The 21,892-nt window shown below is 41.8% G+C and overlaps 2 protein-coding genes and 1 pseudogene across 54 annotated transcripts in view, besides 3 other annotated features; 1 reads left to right on the top strand and 2 right to left on the bottom strand.

Moving 5' to 3' along the window:
- The window catches only part of NCOR1 (nuclear receptor corepressor 1), a 186,378-nt gene that overhangs the window by 159,310 nt on the left and 5,176 nt on the right, over window positions 1-21,892 (top strand). For 37 of the 52 annotated variants that reach the window (NM_006311.4, XM_011524086.4, NM_001439115.1 and 34 more), the window contains 5 exons: window positions 7,237-7,380; window positions 9,132-9,274; window positions 15,731-15,784; window positions 16,571-16,792; window positions 21,281-21,460. In NM_006311.4, the coding sequence (NP_006302.2) occupies window positions 7,237-7,380; window positions 9,132-9,274; window positions 15,731-15,784; window positions 16,571-16,792; window positions 21,281-21,460 (743 nt within the window). The remainder of the gene's footprint in view (window positions 1-7,236; window positions 7,381-9,131; window positions 9,275-15,730; window positions 15,785-16,570; window positions 16,793-21,280; window positions 21,461-21,892) is intronic. The other 15 variants (XM_047437134.1, XM_047437130.1, XM_047437143.1 and 12 more) reach the window with 3 other exon arrangements.
- Window positions 11,106-11,615: an enhancer, noted in NCBI's record as "OCT4-NANOG-H3K4me1 hESC enhancer chr17:15947924-15948433 (GRCh37/hg19 assembly coordinates)". NCBI's record gives its function as "activates a minimal SCP1, AML or CMV promoter by ChIP-STARR-seq in naive and primed H9 embryonic stem cells {active_cell/tissue: H9 hESC(naive and primed)}" and the evidence as "EXISTENCE:reporter gene assay evidence [ECO:0000049][PMID:30033119]".
- The window catches only part of TTC19 (tetratricopeptide repeat domain 19), a 45,192-nt gene continuing 34,509 nt past the window's right edge, over window positions 11,210-21,892 (bottom strand). Inside the window, exon 10 of one of the 2 annotated variants that reach the window (XM_017024802.3) lies at window positions 11,210-11,780. In XM_017024802.3, coding sequence (XP_016880291.2) covers window positions 11,767-11,780 — 14 coding nt within the window. In that variant the 3' untranslated portion in view covers window positions 11,210-11,766. The remainder of the gene's footprint in view (window positions 11,781-21,892) is intronic. The other variant, XM_017024801.3, reaches the window with a different exon arrangement.
- On the bottom strand, window positions 11,229-11,733 carry RPLP1P11 (ribosomal protein lateral stalk subunit P1 pseudogene 11; annotated as a pseudogene).
- Window positions 11,616-12,126: an enhancer, noted in NCBI's record as "OCT4-NANOG-H3K4me1 hESC enhancer chr17:15947413-15947923 (GRCh37/hg19 assembly coordinates)". NCBI's record gives its function as "activates a minimal SCP1, AML or CMV promoter by ChIP-STARR-seq in naive and primed H9 embryonic stem cells {active_cell/tissue: H9 hESC(naive and primed)}" and the evidence as "EXISTENCE:reporter gene assay evidence [ECO:0000049][PMID:30033119]".
- Window positions 15,096-15,390: an enhancer, noted in NCBI's record as "tiled region #10193; HepG2 Activating DNase matched - State 5:Enh". NCBI's record gives its function as "activates a minimal TATA promoter and a strong SV40 promoter by Sharpr-MPRA in HepG2 cells {active_cell/tissue: HepG2}" and the evidence as "EXISTENCE:reporter gene assay evidence [ECO:0000049][PMID:27701403]".

Below are 21,892 nucleotides of genomic sequence, written 5' to 3'. Positions count from 1 at the left end.
GCCAGAGTAATGGAAGCCATGGCTCAGAGCCTGAAAAAGAGAAATTTGTAGCAGAAGTGATTCTCCAGCCTACCTACCAACCCATCAAAGTGAGCAAAGAGCAGATAGAAGAATATAAATAAGAAGCTAAATGGTCTTCTTTAAAAAAAAAAATTATTGTGGAAGTTTTCAAATACATACAAAAGTAGAGAGAACAAGTATAATACACCTCTAGGTATCCATCACCCAATTTTGGTAATCCTCAGTGTATGACGAGTTTTGTTTCATTTTCATCCCCGCTTGCCCCGACCCCCAAACTGGATAATTTTGAAGCAAATCTCGGACTTAGTCATTAGACGCAGCTGGATAACCTTAAGGATAAGATGAAAGCACATTTATTCCCTTTCAGCCAAAACAAAACCAAAAAAAGAAAAGAAATGTGATTATCAAAGAAAAATGGAAAACTATATAGCATTGTCATGGTCCATTCCTGATGAAAATGTTTGCACAATCTGTGGTGTTAGAAAACAGCATCAACTGATTTTCATTTTAGTTATTTATTTAACTTTCATTTTAAGTTCAGGAGTACATGTGCAGGTTTATTATATAGGTAAACTTGAGTCGTGGGGGTTTGTTGTAAAGATTATTTTGTCACCCAGGTATTAAGCCTGGTACCCATTAGTTATTTTTTCCTGAGCCTTCTCCTCCCACCCTCCATCCTCCAATAGGCCCTAGTGTGTGTTGTTCTCTTCCATGTGTCCGTGTGTTCTCACCATTTAGCTCCCGCTTATAAGTGAGAACACGTGGTATTTGGTTTTCTGTTCTTGCGTTAGTTTGCTAAGGATAATGGCCTCCAGCTCCATCCATGTCCCTGAAAAGGACAGGAGCTCATTCTTTTTCATGGCTCCATAGTATTCCATGGTGTATATGTACCACATTGTCTTTATCCAGTCAATCACTGATGGGCATTTGGGTTGATTCCATGTCTTTGCTGTTGTCAATAGTGCTACAGTGAACATACATGTGCATGTGTCTTTATAATAGAATGATTTATATTCCTTTGGGTATATACCCAGTAATGGGATTGTTGGGTTGAGTGGTAGTTCTGCATTTAGGTCTTTGAGGAATTTCCACAGTGTCTTCCACAGTGGTTGAACTAATTTACACTCCCACCAACAGTGTATAAGTGTTCCATTTTCTCCACAGTCTTGCCAGGATCTGTTATTTTTTCACTTTTTAATAGCCATTCTGACTGGTGTGAGATGGTGTCTCATTTTGGTTTTGATTGGCACTTACTCTTTTTTTGTTGTTGTTAAAACAGAGTCTTGCCCTGTTGCCCAGGCTAGAGTGCAATGGTGTGATCTTAGCTCACTGTAACCTCCACCTCCCAGGTTCAAGTGATTCTCCTGCCTCAGCCTCCTAAGTAGCTAGGATTACAGGCTCCTGCCCCCATATCTGGTTAATTTTTGTATTTTTAGTAGAGACAGGGTTTTTCACTATGTTGGCCAGGCTGGTCTCGAACTCCTGACCTCAGCTGATCTACCCACCTCAGCTTCCCAAAGTGGTGGGATTACAGGCATGAGCCACTGCACCTGGCTTGATTTGCACTTCTCTAATGATCAGTGATATTGAGCTTTTTTTTTCATATGCTTCTTGGCTGCATATATGTCTTCTTTTGAAAAGTGTCTGTTCATGTCATTTGCCCACTCTCTTTTTTATCTCATTCTGTTTGCCCAGGCTGGATTTCAGTGGCGCAGTCTCGGCTCACAGCAGCCTCAACCCTCCCAGGCTCAGGTGATTGTCCCACATCAGCTTCCCAAGTAGCTGGGATTACAGGCACATGCCACCACACTCGCTTTACCCGCTCTTTAATGGAGTTGTTTTTTTCTTGTAAATTTGTTTAAGCTCTTTATACATGCTGGATATTAGACCTTTGTCAGGTGCATAGTTTGCAAAATTTTTCTCCCATTCTGTAGGTTGTCTGTTCACTCTGTTGACAGTTTCCTTTTCTGTGCAGAAGCTCTTTAAATTAGATCCCACTTGTCAATTTTTGTTTTTGTTCCAGTTGCTTTTGGTGTCTTTGTTATGAAATCTTTGTCCCTGCCTATGTCCTGAAAGGTATTTCCTAGGTTGTCTTCCAAGGTTTTTATAGTTTTTTTTTTTTTTTTTTTTTTTACATTTAAGTCTTTAATCCATCTTGAGTTAATTTTATATATATATGGTATAAAGAAGAAGCCCAGTTTCAGTCTTCTGCATGTGATAGCCAGTTATCCCAGCACCATTTATTGATAGGGAATTCTTTCCTCATTGCTTGTTTTTGTCAGGTTTGTCGAAGATCAGACAGTTGTAGGTGTGAGGCCTTATTTCTGGGTTCTCTGTTCTGTTCCATTGGTCTGTGTGTCTTATCTTTGTACCAATACAATGCTGTTTTGGTTACTGTAGCCCTGTATTATAGTTTGAAGTCAGGTAGTATGACACCTACAGCTTTGTTCTTTTTGCTTAGTATTGCCTTGGCTATTCAGGCTCTTTTTTGGATCTATATTAATTTTAAAATAGTTTTTTGTAGTTCTGTGAAGAATGTCTTCGGTAGTTTAATAGGAATAGCATTGAATTTGTGAATTGCATTGGGCAGTACGGCCATTTTAATGATATTGATTCTTCCTATCCATGAGCATGGAATGTTTTTTCATTTTTTATCTTTTCATCTTTTATCTCTTTGAGAAGTGTTTTGTAGTTCCCCTTGTAGAGATCTTTCACCTCCCTGGTTAGCTGTATTCCTAGGTATTTTATTATTTTTGTGGCAGTTGTGAATCGAATTGCATTCCTTATTTGGCTCTTGGCTTGGCTCTCATTGGTGTATAGGAACGCTAGTGATTTTTTGCACACTGATGTATCCTGAGACTTTGCTGAAGTTGTTTCATCAGCTTAAGGACCTTTGGGGCTGAGACTATGGAGTTTTCTAGATATGGGATTATGTCTGCAAACAGAGATAGTTTGATTTCCTTTCTTCCTATTTGGATGCCCTTTCTTTCGTTCCCTTGCCTGATCACCCTGGTCAAGACTTCCAATAGGATGTTGAATAAAAGTGGTGACAGAGGGCATCCTTGTTGTGTGCTGGCTTTCAAGAGGAATGCTTCCAGCTTTTGCCCATTCAGTATGATGTTGGCTGTGGGTTTTCATATATGGCTCTTTTATTATGTTGAGGTATGTTCCTTCAATATCTAGTTTACTGAGAGTTTTTAACATGAAAGGGTACTGAATTTTATTGAAAGCCTTTTCTGCATCTATTGATATTTGTGTATATTGAACCAACCTTGCATCCTAGGGATAACATCTACTTGATTGTGGTGGATAAGCTTTTTAATATTTTGCTGGGTTTGGTTTGCCAGTATTTTGTTGAGGATTTTTGCATTCATGTTCATCAAGGATATTGGCCGGAAGTTTTCTTTTTATTGTTGTGTCTCTGCCAAGTTTTGGTATCAGGATGATGCTGGCCTCATAGAATGAGATAGGGAGGAGTCCTTCCTTAATGTTTGGAATATTTTCAGTAGGAATGGTGCCAGCTCTTTTTGTACATCTGGTAGAATTCAGCAGTGAATGTGTCTGGTCATGGGCTTTTTTTGGGTGGTAGGCTATTTATTACTGACTCAATTTCAGAGCATGTTATTGGTCTGTTCAGGGAATCAGTTTTTTCCTGGTTCAGTTTTAGGAGGGTGTATGTGACCAGAAATTTATCCATTTCTTTTAGATTTCCTAGGTTATATGCATAAAGGTGTTCATAATATTTTCTTATGATTGTTTGTGTTTCTGTGGGGTCAGTGGTAATATTCCTTGTCATTTCTGATTGTGTTTATTTGAATCTTCTCTATTAGTCTTAGCTAGCAGTCTGTTTTATTAATTTTTTCTAAAAACCAGATTCTGAGGCCGGGTGCCGTGGCTCATGCCTCTAATCCCAGCACTTTGGGAGGCCGAGGCAGGCAGATCACGAGGTCAGGAGATCGAGACCATCCTGGCTAACACAGTGAAACCCCATTTCTACTAAAAAAAAAAAAAGAAATACAAAAAATTAGCCAGGCGTGGTGGCCGGCATCTATCTGTAGTTCCAGTTACTCGGGAGGCTGAGGCAGGAGAATGGCGTGAACCCGGGAGGCGGAGCTTGCAGTGAGCCAAGATCGCGCCACCGCACTCCAGCCTGGGCGACAAAGCGAGACTCCATCTCAAAACAAAACAAAAACCAGATCCTGAATTTGTTGATCTTTTGAGTGTTTTTTTGTGTCTGAATCTCCTTCAGTTCAGCTTCCGTTTTGTTTATTTTATTTATTTATTTATTTTTTGAGAAGGAGTTTCGCTCTTGTTGTTCAGGCTGGAATGCAATGGCGCGATCTCAGCTCACCACAACGTCTGCCTCCTGGTTCAAGCAATTCTCCTGCCTCAGCCTCTCGAGTAGCTGGGATTACAGGCATGTGCCACCACCCCAGCTAATTTTGTATTTTTTTAGTAGAGACGGGGTTTCTCCACGTTGGTCAGACTGGTCTCAAACTCCCGACCTCCGGTGATCCGCCTGCCTTAGCGTCCCCACGTGCTGGGATTACAGGTGTGAGCCACCGCGCCCCCTGCAGTTTTGGTTATTTCTTGTCTTCTGCTAGCTTTGGGATTTGTTTGCTCTTGGTTGTGATGTTAGCTTGTTAACTTGAGATCTTTCTAACTTTTTGATGTGGATATTTAGTGCTATAAATTTCCCTGTCAACACTGCCTTAGCTGTGTCCCAGAGATTCTGGTACGTTGTATCTTTGTTCTCATTAGTTTAAAAAAACTTGCTTTCTGCCTTTATTTCATTATGTACTCCAGGAGCAGGTTATTGAATTTCTATGTAATTGTATGGAGTGATTTTTATAAGCAAAACACAGAGGAGTTTCTCTGTAGTTCTAGAAAAGGATGTGATGCAATAAATCTTAAAAATGGCTGACAGATATTGGGAGGTGAGGGTTGCATAGGAAAGAGATGGAGAAGTAAGGGTATGTGTGCTAATTTCTTCATTTTTAAAAAAGAAAATATAAAAGGCTGAAGTATGCTATGTAAAGGCAAAATGGACAAAATTAAAATAGGCAAGCCAGCACAGTGGCTGACACCTGTAATTTCAGTGCTTTGGGAGACCAAGGCGAGAGGATCGCTTGAGGCCAGCGGTTCAAGACCAGCCTGGGCAATGTAGTGAGACCCCATCTCCACAAAAAAACTAAAAAATAAAATCGCCCAGGCATGGTGGCATGCACCTGTAGTCCCAGCTACTTGGGAGCCTGAGGTGGGAGGATCACGTGAGCGCAGAAGTTGAGGCTGCAGTAAGCAGTGATTGTACTACTGCACTCTAGCCTGGGTGACAGAGGGAGACCCTGTCTCAAAAATAAAAATAAAAATAAAAATAAAATGGGCAACAACAGAGAAGGCAAATCAAATTCTTCATCTTTCATGGAAGAGAGTTAACAGATACTGTTTCAAGTTTTATAAATAAAAAAAACATGTTTAAGATTATTTACAGAGTTTTGGAGGTAAACAGCAAAACAACTTAAAAAAAAAGTGGCTATCTTGAACAACTGGATGGGCTGATTGAGAAAGGCCATAACAAATCATATTATAATTTTGCTTTAGTCTAATAGTCATAATTCCAGATGTTGAAAGTCACAGGTGGCTTTCATATGCATAATCGCTATGTCAAAAAATTTTAGCAGGGCCGGGTGTGGTGGCTCACGCCTGTAATCCCAGCACTTCAGGAGGCTGAGGCAGGTGGATCACTTGAGGTCAGGAGTTTGAGACCATTCTGGCCAACATGGTGAATCCCCGTCTCTAATAAAACTACAAAAATCAGCCAAGTGTGGTGGTGGCTACCTGTAATCCCAGCTATTCAGGAGGCTGAGGCACTAGAATCCTTTCAACCTGGGAGGTGGAGGTTATAGTGAGCCAAGATCGTGCTACTGCACTCCAGCCTGGGTGACAGAGCAAGACTCTGTCTTAAAAAAAAAAAAAAATTGAGGGTGTGGTGGGGCGAGGTGCTTGTAATTCCCATTACTTTTGGAGGCTGAGGTGGGAGGATTGCTTGAGCCCAGGAGTTTGAGGTCAGCAACATAGTGAGACCCCTGTCTCTACAAAAAATTAAAAATGGGCCACCAGACATAATAAAACATATAATAAAAATATTAGCTGGGCATGGTGACGCATGCCTGTAATCCCAGTTACTCGGGAGATGTAAGTGAGAGGACCACTTGAGCCCAAGAGTTTGAGGCTGCAGTGAGCTATGATTGCACTCCTGTACTCCTGCCTGGGCAACGAGCGGGACCCTGTCTCTAAAAAATAAAAATTTTAATAATAAGATAAATGGGCCAGGTGCGGTAGCTCAGGCCTGTAATCCTAGCACTTTTGGAGGCCCAGGCAGGTGGATCACCTGAGGTCAGGAGGCCTAGCCAACATGGTGAAACCCCGTCTCTACTAAAAATACAAAAATTAGCCGGGGTATGGTGGCGCATGCCTATAATTCCAATTCCAGCTGCTCGGGAGGCTGAGGCAGGAGAATTGCTTGAACCTGGGAGGCAGAGGTTGCAGTGAGCTGATCACACCACTGCACTCCAGGCTGGGTGACAAAGCCAGACTCTGTCTCAAAAAAAAAAAAAATGATAAATGGGTGGGAGCTAAACAGTGTGTCTATCTTATATTATTCTTACCAAATGGTATCCAGAGAAAAAATATAAAATTGCAGAGAACCCCTCTGCCATAATATAGTGTAACTAGAACCTATGTTGACTCACCTGATAAAACTTCTTGGGTGTCAGTTTAGTACTGAAGTCCTTTATCTTTAACTTGACGATGAAAGAACTGGTCAGTCGACTCAAAATAGGTAGGAAAACCCTTGAGGTTTCACCTGGACTAAGGAGCCAAGGGTGAGATGGTGTCTGATGTTGAAGGACATGCGGAGCCTCAAGGACGCAGCTTCTGCCACTGCTGCTGCCCGGGCAGCACTGTCTGATGACGTGACTCCTGGATCCACGGGGCGCGCATGGGTCAAGTGGCAGTAACACAGTGGTTTTTTTTGTTGTTGTTTGTTTGTTTTAACTATGTATATAGTGAATACCTGAGGCAACTTTTTTTCTGATAGAAATTGGCAGCTTTTGCTCCTTCTCCTGAATGAAGTCATGAGTTAACAAGTTTCTGTTTAGGTAAGTCCCAGGTTAGCCTTTGAAACACAATCTAATATTTCACATATTACAATAGTAGGCCTGGAAAATCCCCAGAGAGGAGTCACGTCTCTTCGGAGCCCTACGAGCCCATCTCCCCACCCCAGGTTCCGGTTGTGCATGAGAAACAGGACAGCTTGCTGCTCTTGTCTCAGAGGGGCGCAGAGCCTGCAGAGCAGAGGTAAGTGTGCTTCCTAGTGACAGCAACCATTCATGGCGTGGGTGCTCATGCTTTAACATTTCCTTCAGTTGTTGCCGTTTTTCTCAGAACTTTGGGCTTTTATGTCTGGATGGCATTCTTAGAGGATCATTTGTCTCTTTTCCTACTCATCTAATGCTAGTGTATTTTAGCAAAAAGAAAATATTTATAATATCATATTTAAATAGGTTAGAAAATATTTGTTCATTATTCTTGAAATTAAATCTTTCTAGATTTTTTTTTTAATGTTTTTGTCTAGGGGAAAGGGTCATCCATTGATTCAGCCAACATTTGAATGCTTACTGTATACCAAGCACTGTGGACTCTGAATAGATTTAATCTTACCTATTTCTAACCGTGACCCCAACCCTATTAATTATTAAATTATCCCCATTTGACTAGATGCCTTTGAGTTGGCTCCTTTCCAGTCAGTCTCCATACCTCCACCTGAGTGATTTGTCTAAAACTCATGCAGAATCCAGCACCCAGTCTTTTGCATGGCATCTGAGTTCCTGGCATGACCAGGTGTATGCTGCGCATTCAGCTTCACTTCCCTCTGCATCATCCCTACACTGGAATCTCTGTCCAAATCATGTTGCTTATTGTTCCCTGAATTCCTTTCTGTCCATAGTCGTGCAGTTTGCCTAGTGCTGAACCCTCCACTGATGCGCTGAAAGCCAGACATGTCACTTGCTCATGGTCGTACTGATACTAATGGGGAAGGGCCAGTTTTAAACGAAGGCCTTTCTAACTCCAAATTGCTAGTGCCTTTCTTACAAAGTGTTGCTATTAATTTATTGCATTTATTCTTAGGGAGCTAAACAGATATTGCTACTTTTCAATGAAATGAAGAAAATCCATTTTTGGAGAGGGAGTGATGTTCAATTTAATTATACATTTACATCTTTCCCCTACGTTTATGAGTGTTTTGAGGACAGGGACCATGTCTTATTCCTGTTCCTATCACCTTAATTGTCTTTCCTGGCATAGAGTACGTGTTCTTGTGTTTGAATGATGACTGAATCCACATGATTGGATTAGGTTTTCAATAACCTATAGTCTCTGTTCTCATCTCTGGCTCTAGCTAGATCCTTGGTGGCCTGGAGTTTTTAGGGAAACCTTGTTTTTTTTTAAATGTGTTAGTATAGGAAGCTGCCAGTAAAATATGAAACTCTTTATATTAAACTCAGCTCATTTGTTAGGTTGCTTGAAATGATTGTAACAAATAGGCAGTTTTATTCCTATACTGTTGTGTTCCAGTCCAGCTGTTGATTGCTTAGATATGAGTTCTTGCTATTTTGTAGTCAAGCGTGCTATTAGTTTTAATTTTAGTGTACTTAAAACTAATTCTAGTAAAATTGTTCCCAGTTTAGGTGGTAACCATTAATATATCAGTGTTTGTGCTGTTAAGGAGAGAGCATCATAAGCTGTTTCTGAGTTTTCCTATTAATATTCATTTACTGCTTCTTCATTCCTTCCTAAGAATTTCTGCTCTAGATTATCTCCATTCTAATTCTAATTTTATGATTTCATTTTGAGAGCTAAATCATTTTTCCTCAAATGATGTACTAAGTGGTTTATGATTACATACTGTTTCTTAGGGCTGTAACCACAAACACAGGATGAGGAGGCAGTAGTTTTCTAAGTACTCTCTGACTGTTGTTATCATTGATAGGAATGTCCCCAGGATTAGGAGTACGTGGTTGTAATATACTTAACTTTGGCCCTAACAGGAATGATGCCCGCTCACCAGGGAGTATAAGCTACTTGCCTTCATTCTTCACCAAGCTTGAAAATACATCACCCATGGTTAAATCAAAGAAGCAGGAGATTTTTCGTAAGTTGAACTCCTCTGGTGGAGGTGACTCTGATATGGGTAAGTGGGATTTCTTTCATGAACCCCAAATAAAACATGCATTAATAATGATATCTCCAGTGTTGCCTCTCCTGTAATGCTTGAGTTTGAAGGCTCTTTACAGGACATCTGTCCAACACATCTGATCCTAGAGTTCCTTCTCAAGTGTCTGCCAGCCCATGAAGAGTTCTAATTAGGAGGCAGGAGTTCGCTCCTTTCTGAAGCTGTGCCGTTTCTCTTTGAAGAAATGCTGTGTCTAGGTTACTTTTCTTTATGTAGGACTGGATTAACTCTCCATAGTTTACTTTTCTTTCTCCCCTACCCATCAGTCTTCATTTTGTCCATTTGGGCCTATCCCCACATAACATCTCCTCAGATATTTGAAGACGTGTCTTTCAGGAGTCCTCTCAATCAGTGTCCCCAGTTTCATCAGCTGTGGGTCACATGTCCTCATTCTTAGTACCCCTACCATCTCAGTTATTCTCCACCAAAAACATTTAACCTAGCCTTTCACTAGGTTTCGAGTAATACAAAATAGAGTAGTATAATATGATCTATGCTAAATTCATCATTTTTAAAGTAGCCTAAGACTATTAGCTGTTTTGTTGGCAGCCTATACACTGTTAAGTTATGAAGTGCACTGTTAAGTACTTAGTATGAACGTTGATGTCAAGGTCTTGGGCTACTTTTAATTCATGCCTTGCCCTCGCTCTACTTTTACAGTAACTAGCTCCAAGTATAGGACAAGTCCAAGTCCGTCTGTGCTTGCTCCAGTCCAGCTACTTTTTCTACCCTACCAGTGTCTTTGTGGACTTGAGTTGATTCATTCACTATTCATATGCAACTCTGATAAACTAACCGTGTAAAAATAAAACATTGGCCTGGAATCTCAACACTTTGGGAGGCCAAGGCGGGAGGATTGATTGGGCCCAGGAGTTCGAGATTAGCCTGGACAACACAGGGAGACCCCATCTCTACAAAATATAAAAAATTAGCTGGGTGCGGTGGTATACATCCCTGTAGTCCTATTTACATGGGAAGCTGAGGTGGGAGGATTGCTTGAGCCTGGGAAGTTGAGGCTACAGTGAGCTACGATCGCATCACTGCACTGCAGCCTAAGCCAGAGTGAGATGTCTCAAGAAAAAAAAAAAAATTTTTTTTAAATTGTCTGGGTGTGGTGGCTCACGCCTGTAATCCCAGCACTTTGCAAGGCCAAGACGGGTTGATCACCTGAGATCAAGAGTTTGAGGCCAGCCTGGGCAAGATGGTGAAACCCTGTCTCTACTAAAAATATAAACAGCTGGTCATGGTGGCGTGCACCTGTAATCCCAGCTACTCAGGAGGCTGAAGCATGAGAATCATTTGAACCTGGGAGGCAGAGGTTGCAGTGAGCCAAGATTGTGCCACTGCATTCCAGCCTGGGCAACAAAGTGAGTCTCTGTCTCAAAAAATAATAAATTAATAAAATAAAAATATAAAATCAGTAATAATGGTAGCAAAAGGTTATCTAGCGTACTATGTGGTAGGCTCTATTCTAAGCATGTGTAGATATAGTCTCATTTAATCCTCACAACAACCCTACATATTACAATTATCTCCATTTTGTAGATGAGGAAACAGACTCAGGTTTAAGAGTTGGCACAGGTTACATATCTAGTAAGTAATGAGGCTGCAGTTCAAACCCAGGCATTCCAACTCCAGAGTCCATGTTGCTAATGATGGACCAACTGGCTTCTAACAGTTCCATACTCATAGCATCTTAACCAGATTGTTGGTAAATATTCTAGCTAATGTTCTGTGGCAGAACCTTTTTCCTCTGGGTTGATATGCAAGTATTAATCAGAACCTCCTCGTGTTCTCTCAGCACTCACTTGTACTAACTATCCCCCCAGTCTTATCAGTCTTTTCCTCAGTCCCCTTGATAGAGAGACTTTGGGTAGACCATAGTCTGGTTTATTCTTTTTTTTTTTTTCTTAAGTTCAGCTTTGTATTGAACACGTTATAAGAAATTTAGTCAAAACAACCAAAAGCCCATGTCATCATCAGACTCCTCAGATTCTTCTTTGTTTGCTTCCACTTTCTTCTCAGCTGGAGCAGCAGCAGTGGAGTGGGCAGGATCCCACTGGTGCAGCACCAGCTGCTGGAGCAGGTCCACCAGCCCCTACATTGTAGATGAGGCTCCCAATGTTGACATTGGCCAGGGCCATTGCAAACAAGCTGGACCAAAAAGGTTCAACATTTACACCAGCTGCTTTAACGAGGGCATTGATCTTATCCTCCGTGATGGTCACCTCATTGTCATGCAGAGTGAGGGCTGAGTAGATGCAGGCGAGCTCGGAGACAGAGGACATGGTATGGGCAAGTGTGGGGCTGGCGCTGCCGGACGTGGTGGTAGTTGCCGGATGAAGTGAGGGCCTCATCCCAACGTGGCCTTAGCTTCCTTGGAAGGACCAAGCACTGTGGTGGCAGCTGAGGAAAGGACGATCTGCTTTATTTCTGTGATCTACCATCTACTAGTCTCCTGATCCTGTCAAAAGAAAGGAAAGTGGGGGCCTTGCACTGTGAACTGCCTGGTGGATGTTTGTTTAGATCTGTGTCACTCTTGTGATTAATAAATGTTGAACACCAAGGAAAAAAGGATGAGCCAGTGTCACCACTGTTTCTGAACTTGTCCTCGCTCTTAATTACTAGGTTCTGTTTAGGTGGCAACAAAATAAAAGACAAATATTTTAGAATGCTGACCAGAATTGTTATCAGGCTTACAGATAGCCTTTCTTTCTTTCTTTTTTTTTTTTTTTTTTTTGAGATGGAGTCTTACTCTGTGGCCCAGGCTGGAGTGCAGTGGCACGATCTCGGCTCACCGCAACCTCCGCCTCCCGGGTTCAAGTGTTTCTCCTGGGCCAGCCTCCCGAGTAGCTGGGATTACAGGCACCAGCCACCATATCCGGCTAATTTTGTATTTTTAGTACAGACGGGGTTTATCCATGTTGGCCAGGCTGGTCTCGAACTCCTGACCTCAGGTGATCCACCCACCTCAGCATCCCAAAGTGTTGGGATTACAGGCGTGAACCACTGTATCCGGCCACCTTTTCAAAAAATATTGTTATTACTATTTTCTGTCTCCAGTCTTCAACAGTTTAATCTATTATTTACAGCTCCTCAAGTGTCACCAACAAAAATATACTCTTGTTTTCAATTTCTCTTGGCACTCAGAGATGAATCTGTGTGAGCACGGAGAGCTAGAGATCTCAGAGCAGCCAGGAACTGAGATGCAAATCATTTCACCTTTGTGTGGTCTGCTCATTCTGTAGTCTTTGTCTTACCCTTAAAGTGGGAAACTCTTTGACAGGGAAATGCCATGTTTGAACTGAAGAAGCCTACTTTATAGTTTTTTCTCTCTTGCCTAATGTTTTCAGTAGCGTACTATGTTGGGTGTTTTAGTATGCCACATGGTCTCTATTCTCTGAAGCTGTATGATGAAACAAGTACCTAACTTTAACAGGAGATAATTAATGTCTTAAGGGAAGTACTAACAGAATTGCTTTAGAGTCTGGGATTTTTTTTTTATTGCAAGAACTATTTTTCATGGTGGAAAGGAGAATTTATATTAAAGAACCAGTGGGCTCCTGGGCCCACCATGGCACATTTAGCCTTCACTGGGAAGTAGAACTAAATGAAAGCCATCAGCAGCCAACACAGCTTCACTTCAGCTCATTGTATCTGAATCCAGTGTTCCCAAGGACATCAGTGACTTTATTTTTTTGAAAACTGTAATGCTTTAAAACTTACTTTATTGGATCTCTTTGCAGCTTTTGACACAGTGAACCACTTTCCTTTCCTGAAATGCTTTCCTCTCTTGGCTTTCTGATGCCATGTTCTCCTGTTTCTTCTCTACTTCTCTGGCCACTTCTGTCTCCTTAGAAGCTCAGTCTTGCTTTGCCTGGCCCTTGATTGTTAGTTTTCCCCAGGGCTCACTTCTTAGCCCCTTTCTCCTCATGTCTTATAATTTGAGTCATCTCATCTACTCTGGGGAGTTGAATGGTCGCTTGTATGCTGAAAACTCCCAAATTTGTATCTGTAGCCCAGCTTTTCCTACTAAGCTCTACTTACATATCTTTGCAGACCTCATTACTTCTTGACTAACTTACTGGCTCCTTAAATATCTAAAATTGAATCCATGTTCTACCTCCCCATACAAAAAGTTCCTCCTCCTTCCCTACCACAGTTAACAGTTACCATTACTCTGGCCATTACTATCCTGGTCTCTCTGCCTCCTGATGGGAGTCAGCTCCTCCTGTCAAGTTGGCCTCCACAGTGGCTTTCACATGTCTACCTTCCATTCTGCTAATTTCTGAGCAGTTACCACATTCTTGCTCAACAGTAGGTACCAGTCACCTGGATTGCTTATTAAATAGTTGAATTATGGAGCCCCAGGAATGTAGAAAATTTACTAAGCTACCCAGGTGATTCTAATTTGTATGGCCTTAGCAAGTACCACACTGCACTGTAAGCTCCATTAGCAAAGGAAGGGTTATCCTGCAAGTGCAGTATCTAAGGATTATCATTGGTTAACTTATAGGAAATTGTCTTCATCTGACCATTTTTGATCAATAAGGTAATCTTAACAATTCAGTCAAATAACTGCTCAATTAAATATCTATCAAATGAATGACTCCTGTTCCACACACTTCATGATAACAGGGCTCTGCTGTTTCAGGCTCAATTTATTTACCTTGTCACCTGGCCCATAAGTAAGAAGACTGTCATCCATGGCCATTGTTTTCTAGTTCTTCTGAGGACTTTTCTCCTCTGTCAGTTTAAAGCCTCCCTAATCAACCAAGTTTGTTTCTAGGCACATGCACTCTTCCCTCCTCTCATGTGCTCAGCCCTTGGGTAAGAGTCCATCCTTCTGTGGTCTCATTAGAAATTTCACATTCTGGCCGGGCACGGTGGCTCACACCTGTAATCCCAGCACTTTGGGAGGCCGAGGCGGGCATATCGAGGTCAGGAGATCAAGACCATCCTGGCTAACACGGTGAAATCCCATCTCTACTAAAAATGTAAAAAATTAGCCAGGCATAGTGGCGGGCGCCTGTAGTCCCAGCCACTCGGGGGGCTGAGGCAGGAGAGTGGCGTGAACCTGGGAGGCAGAGCTTGCAGTGAGCCAAGATCGCACCGCTGCACTCCAGCCTGGGCGGCAGAGTGAGACTCCGTCTTAAAAATAAATTAATTAATAAATTAATTAATTTCACATTCTGGCTGAGCACAGTGGCCCATGCCTGTAATCCCAGCACTTTAGGAGGCTGAGGTGGGTAGATCACCTGAGGTCAGGAGTTCGAGACCAGCCTGGCCAAAATGGTGAAACTCCGTCTCTACTAAAAATACAAAAATTAGCTGGGCATGGTGGCGGGGGGCCTATAATCCCAGCTGCTCGGGAGGCTGAGGCAGGAGAACTGCTTGAACCCAGGAGGCAGAGGTTGCAGTGAGCCTAGATCACGCCATTGCACTCCAGCCTGGGTGACAAGAATAAAACACCACCATCTCAAAGGAAAAAAAAAAAAAAAAAAGAACTTTCACATTCTTTGGGACACATCATTTGGCTGCCCACTTGCTTTCTGCATTCTTTTTTTCTCTTTAAAATTCTTAGCGTCAAGTTGGGAATGACGGAAACACCAATTTATGTCCCAAATTCTTCCCCTTTCTGGCACACTGCTTTATTATAGGCGGTTCCCAGGTCTTATGCTGTTATCATTCAAACTGCAGATTACAAGTTGCACAGTCAGCAGGAATGAAAAGGATCAACAGAGTCTTTTGTTTTTTCCAGCAAATATCCTGAGTTTCCAGTTAGCCATGCAGGGAAACACAGTCATTTTCATAGTATTCACTGTGGTGGCTTTCCTCTGGATCACATCCCAGGCTGCCTCAAACCTGTTGGTATTTGTGGCGGTCATCCCAGAGTCCAAGGTTTCTTCTTCGTCAGAAAGCCTTGGTTCCTGTTCTGAGAACAGCATTTTCCTATTTGTTTTTCTCCAGCAGTGCAAAGTTCCTTTCCCTTTTCTGGGTTACACTGCTTCTTTTTTTATTTATTTATTTATTTTTGGTAAACAGATGGGAGAGTCTCACTGTGTTGCCCAGGCTGGCCTCAAATTCCTATGCTCAAGCAGTCCTACCGCCTCAGCCTGCTGAGTAGCTGGGGGACTAGGAGTGCACCACTGCACACAGCTTATTGCTCTTCTTTTGATGTTCCTACCTTACCTATTTCCTGATTTCCCTTTAAAAATAGCCTGGGCAACAGAGTGAGACCCTGTCTCAAAAAAAAAAAATACTTCCATTTTATCTTCACTTAATGGGTGAGAAATAAAGGTTGAGATCATGAAAAATAAAAAGATTAATTTTATTATAGGAATTTTTTGAGACTTTAGTTTGGTATATATGATTATCACATCTTAATTAACTTGAATGTTTGCTTAAATATAGCAGCTGCTCAGCCAGGAACTGAGATCTTTAATCTGCCAGCAGTTACTACGTCAGGTAAGATTGAAAAGACATTATTTACCAATACAAAATTGGCACAGCAGTAGTCAGTCCAACAAATATGTACTGAGTACCAACTGTATACCAGGGGAGTGACTGCTCTAATATGGAAAAATAAATAAATAATTTAGTGAAGGAAGGTTTACCCAGTAGCACAGAAAGGAACTGAGATCCAGTAAATACCTATTGAAAAGATAAATGAACAAAAAGAATGAAACTATTAAAGAACACTGTCAAAACTAGGGAACTGAGAAAATTGTTGAGTAACTTTAATAGAAGTGTGGGTGACTGATTCACTTGGGAAACAAATTTCCTTAAGGAGTTATCTGTGGATTAAGATGGTCTCTGGGCTGGGTGCGGTGGCTCACGCCTGTAATCCCAGCACTTTGGGAGGCCAAGGCGGGCGGATCACCTGAGGTTCGGAATTCGAGATCAGCCTGACCAATATGGTGAAACCCCATCTCCTAAAAATACAAAAAATTAGCCTGGTGTGGTGGTGGGTGCCTGTAGTCCCAGCTACTTGGGAGACTGAGGTAGGAGAATCCCTTGAATCTGGGAGGCGGAGGTTGCAGTGAGCCAAGATCGCGCCACTGCACTCCAGCCTGGGTGCGACAGAGAGAGACTCTGTCTCCAAAAAAAAAGGTCTCTGTGTGGTGGGTCCTGGTATTGTTCTAGGTCACTTGCCAAGTGCTGTGTGTATTCAGTGGGCTGATGGGGCAATGCATGTTTGTTTCCTGATTGGCCTTTCAGAAATAAGTGGAAATGTTTTTGATTCTCTTTCAGGCTCAGTTAGCTCTAGAGGCCATTCTTTTGCTGATCCTGCCAGTAATCTTGGGCTGGAAGACATTATCAGGAAGGCTCTCATGGGAAGCTTTGATGACAAAGTTGAGGATCATGGAGTTGTCATGTCCCAGCCTATGGGAGTAGTGCCTGGTACTGCCAACACCTCAGTTGTGACCAGTGGTGAGACACGAAGAGAGGAAGGGGACCCATCACCTCATTCAGGTACAGCTTTCATTTTAGTGCTTTTCTGCTGCTTTTCCCCAAAAAAGCCAGTTTATTTCCCAAATTCTGATGCATCACTAAGACATTTCATTTATGTCTTTATGTGCTCAGAGTCACCTCTTAGGGTTTCCGTTACTTAAAAAAGGTTTTTGAAAACCTACCCAGACATTATAATATGAACAGAAATAAAATGGAAGAAAATTTTTACCCAAAGTGTCACCCTCCTGGGATGTCCATTTTTTATTTGTTTGCACCTAGTCCTCATCTATACATACTGCATTGTAATTGTAACACAAATATAATGTTTTTGAATAAAAGTGATTTAACTGTAAAAATTAGGCTCAGTAGAAAAGAAACATAAGCCAGCCGGGTGCGGTGGTTCACGCCTGTAATCCCAGCACTTTGGGGGGCGGAGGCGGGCGGATCACAAGGTCAAGAGATCGAGACCATCCTGGCCAACATGGTGAAACCCCATCTCTACTAAAAATACAAAAATTAGCTGGGCATGATGGCGTGTGCCTGTAATCCCAGGTACTCAGGAGGCTGAGGCAGGAGAATTGCTTGAACCCGAGAGGCGGAGGTTGCTGTGAGCTGAGATCACACCACTGCACTCCAGCCTGGAAACAGAGTGAGACTCCGTCTCAAAATACATACATACACAGACACACACAATAAAATAAAATAATCGTAAGCCATAAAAAAAGAGTAGGAAAAAAGGTGTAATCATAGCACTTTGGGAGGGTAAGTTGGGTGGATCACTTGAGCTCAGGAGTTTGAGACCAGCCTGGGCAACATGATGAAAACCCCGTCTCTACAAAAATTACAAAAATTAGCTGGGTGTGGTGGCTCACGCTGTAGTCCCAGTTACTTGTGGGGGCCGAGGTGGGAAGATCACTTGAGCCCAGGAGGCAGAGGTTGCAGTGAGCTGCAATTGCACCACTGCACTCCAGCCCAGGTGACAAAGTGAGACCCTGTCTCAAAAAAGGAAAAAAAAAAAGAGTAGGAAAAAGGGAAGAAAAAGAAACAGTTCTTCAGATCACATCATCCGGAATGCTAATGCTTGTATCTGATAAGCATTGTTTCAGACATGTCTCTGGATAGCCAGATAAGAGTTGCTAGAATGAGATTTTATACATTCTGTTAAAAACAAGCACACAAAAAAACCATAATAATCCTAAGCTTTAATCTTACAACCTTTTTCTTAATATTTTGAGAATATCTCTTGTGCTTTTCAAAATTACCTGAAGTTCAGCAGTATTTCTGTTTTAGTTTAGATTTATTTTCCTGTTATCTTCAAGCAAAAGATCTATCTCACTATGGTTAAGAAAAAGATTAAAGAGATTAGAGGTCTTAAAAAAAAAACTATACATGTTAACTTTAAGACCTTCCCCTTTCTGTTCTTACCTTCCAATTTTTATTGGCTTTAAGTGTGTGTGTTTTAAGGTTATAAGACTGGTGACTTAGTCAATTACAATTGTACTGGTTGTATAGGAATTTGGGGCAGTGTGAAATTGTTTTGCTGGGGCTGAGGAAAAAATTTGCTGATGACCTGGGCTCTGATCTCTTCTGAGCTCTTTTTGATGTTTTCTTTTAGAGCACAGTCAGAGGTGTCTCACTTCTGTGAAATTCTGCTGAGTTCATCAGCTACACAGTCTGGAAAAATCAAAAGGGCTACCAAAACTTGCTGAGCCTCTGCTCAAGTCCTGTAGTAGCATGAAGAAGCTTTGTTCTGCAGTTTTTCCTTTACATATTATTTCTTTGTGTGGTGTATTAATTCCAGTTGGGAAAGGGGGGTTGGTCATTAGTGAAGTATGATTTTTGTCACCCTGCCTTCTTTCTTTAGTAGTTTCTGTACTCTGAGGCCAGTAAAGAAGGCTTGATGTCCCAGAAATTTCAGTTCCTTAATTACCACATTTTAATGGCAGGAGGACGAACCTTGTTTTTTGTTTTGATTGTTACAAGTGAAATCCTGGCTTTCTTTTAAATGCAAGCATACCTCGTTTTATTGTGCTTTTTTTTTTAACTGAAGGTTTATGGCAACCCTGTGTCAAGCAAGTCTATCAGCATTATTTTTCTAATAGCATGGGCTCTCCTTTGTGTCTGTGTCATATTTTGGTAATTCTCACAATATTTCAAACTTGTTCATGATTATTATCTCTGTGATGGTGATCAGTGACCTTTGATATTACTATTGTAATTGTTTGGGGGCACCATGAGGAGCACCTGTATAAGATGGCAAACAACCCATAAAGGTGGTGTGTGTCCTGACTCCTCCACTGACTGGTTGTTCCCTGTCTCTCTCCTCCTCTGGCTCCCTTATTCCCTGACACACAACAATATTCAAATTCGGCCAATTAACCCTGCAATGGCTTCTAAGTGTTCAAGTGAAAAGAAGAATCACTAAGTCTGTCACTTGAAATGAAAAGTTAGAAATGATTAAGCTTAGTGAGAAAGGCATGTTGAAAGCCAAGACAGGCTGAAAGCTAGACCTCATGTGCCAAACAGTTAGCCAAATTGTGAATGCAAAGGAAAAGTTTTTGAAGGAAATTGAAAGTGCTATTCCAGTGAACACACAAATGGTAATAAAGCAAAACAGTGTTTCGTGACACACAGAAGATTTTAGTGGTCTGGATAGAAGACCAAACCAGCCACAACATTCCCTTAAGCCAAAACCTAATCCTAATCCAAGCCCTAACTCTTCAATTCTCTGAAGGCTCAGAGAGGCGAGGAAGCCACAGATGAGAAGGCTGAAGCTAGCAGAGGCCATTCAGAGGTTGAAGAAGCCGTCTCTGTAACATAAAAGTGCAAGGTGAGGGAGAAAGTGCTGATGAAGATGTTGCAGCAAGTTACTCAGAAGACCTAGCTAAGATCTTTGATAAAGGTGACTGCATTAAACAACAGATCTTCCATGTAGACAAAACAGCCTTCTACTGGAAGAGTCCAAAACTTCAAAAGACAGGCTGACTCTCTTGTTAGGGGCTAATGCAGGTGGTGACTTTTAAGTTGAAGCCAGTGCTCCTTTACCATTCTGAAAATCCTAGGCCACTTAAGAATTATGCTTGGTCTACTCGCCTGTGCTCTAGAAATGGAACAAAGCCTAGATGACAGCATGTGTTTACAGAATGGCTTGCTGAATATTTTAAGCCCACTGTTCAGACCTACTGCTTAGAAAAAATAATTTTCAATACTGCTCATTAACAATCCACTTAGTCACCCAAGAGCTCTGATGGAAAGGTTCAAGGAGATGAATGTTGTTTTCATGCCTGCTAACACAACATCCATTCTGAAGCCCATGGATCAAGGAATAATTTCTACTTTCAAGTCTTATTATTTAAGAAATACATTTCATAAGGCAATAGCTGCCATAGTGATTCCTCTGACGGATCTGAGCAAAGTAAACTGAAAACCTTCTGAAAAGGATTCACCATTTTAGATGCTATTAACGACATTTGTAATTCATGGGAGGAGGTAAGAATATCAACATTAACAGGAGTTTGGAAAAAGATGATTCCAGCTCCCATGGATAACTTGGGAGGGGATCAAGACGTCAGTGGAGGGAGTCACTGCAGGTGTAGGAGAAATAGCAAGAGAGGCCGGGTATGATGACTCATGCCTGTAATCCCAGCACTTTGGGTGGCTGAGGCAGTAGAATCACTTGAACCCAGGAGTTTGAGACCAACCTGGGCAACATGGTGAGACCCCATCTCTACAAAAATTTTAAAAAGTAGCCGGGTGTGGTGGTGTGTACCTGTGGTCCCAGCTACTTGGGTCTGAGGTGGGAGGATTGCTTGAGCCCAAGAAGTTGAGGCTTTAGTGAGCTGGTAAGCCGTGATTGTGCCACTGCAGTGCAGCCTGGGCAGCAGAGGTGAGACCCTGCCTTAAAAAAAAAAAAAAAAAAAAAAGAACAAGAGAACTAGTAGTGGAGCCTGAAGATGTAACTGAATTGCTGCAATCTCATGATCAAACTTGAAATGGATGAGGAGTTGCTTCTTAGGGATGAGCAAAGAAAGTGGTTTCTTGAGATTGAATCTGCCCCTGAAGATGCTGTGAACATGGCTGAAATGACAACAAAGGATTTAGAATACTACATTACATAAACCCAGTTAATAAAGAAGGGTTTGAGGGATCAACTCCAATTTTGAAAGTTCTACTGTGGCTAAAATGCTATCATTGCATGCTACAAATAAGTCTTTCATGAAAGGAAAAGAAATTGCCACAGCCATCCCAGCCTTTGGCAACCGCCATGCAGATTAGTCAGCAGCCATCAACATGGAGGCAAGACCATCCACCAGCAAAATAATTGTGACTTACTAAACCCTCAGTATCTCTGAGGTATGCCTGTAGTATTTTATTTCATTGAGTACCAGGATCTGGATTCTTCATGTTACCATTCTGCTTTTTTTTCATTTAGCAATATATAATCATTAGCATTTTGGTAATTTTTGAGAACTTAATATATTAATACTTTAACTTGAATTTCACTTTCAGGAGGAGTTTGCAAACCAAAGCTGATCAGCAAGTCAAACAGCAGGAAATCTAAGTCTCCTATACCTGGGCAAGGCTACTTAGGAACGGAACGGCCCTCTTCAGTCTCCTCTGTACATTCAGAAGGGGATTACCATAGGCAGACGCCAGGGTGGGCCTGGGAAGACAGGCCCTCTTCAACAGGTAAGGATTCTGCTTTAACTTAGAAAATGAGACAGAGCAATAATATCAATGTCTTGGTTATTAGTTCTTCAAAATTCAGCAACTCTTCTAATTTGGAAACCTATATTCCCATTTCTGTATCATTAATATGTTCCACTTTCCCGAATAGAAGTATTTTTTTGAGGGGTCTTGTTCTGTCACCCAGGCTGGAATGCAATGGCATGATCATGGCTCACTGCAGCCTCGACCTCTGAGGCTCAGGTGATCCTCTCACCTGAGCGACCCAAGTAGCTGGGACTACAGGCGTGCACGACCATGCCTGGCTAATTTTTTTCATTTTCATTTTAATTTTTATTTTTTGTAGGGACAAGGTCTCACTACGTTGCCCAGGCTGGTCTCGAACTCCTGAACTCATTCCTCCTGCCTTGGCCTCACAAAGTGTTAGTATTACAG

Source organism: Homo sapiens, chromosome 17 (genome assembly GCF_000001405.40).
Source record: "Homo sapiens chromosome 17, GRCh38.p14 Primary Assembly".
NCBI classification, from domain to species: Eukaryota; Metazoa; Chordata; class Mammalia; order Primates; family Hominidae; genus Homo; species Homo sapiens.
The sequence above is the reverse complement of the archived record's forward strand: the minus strand, read 5'-3'. Positions and strand labels throughout refer to the sequence as shown.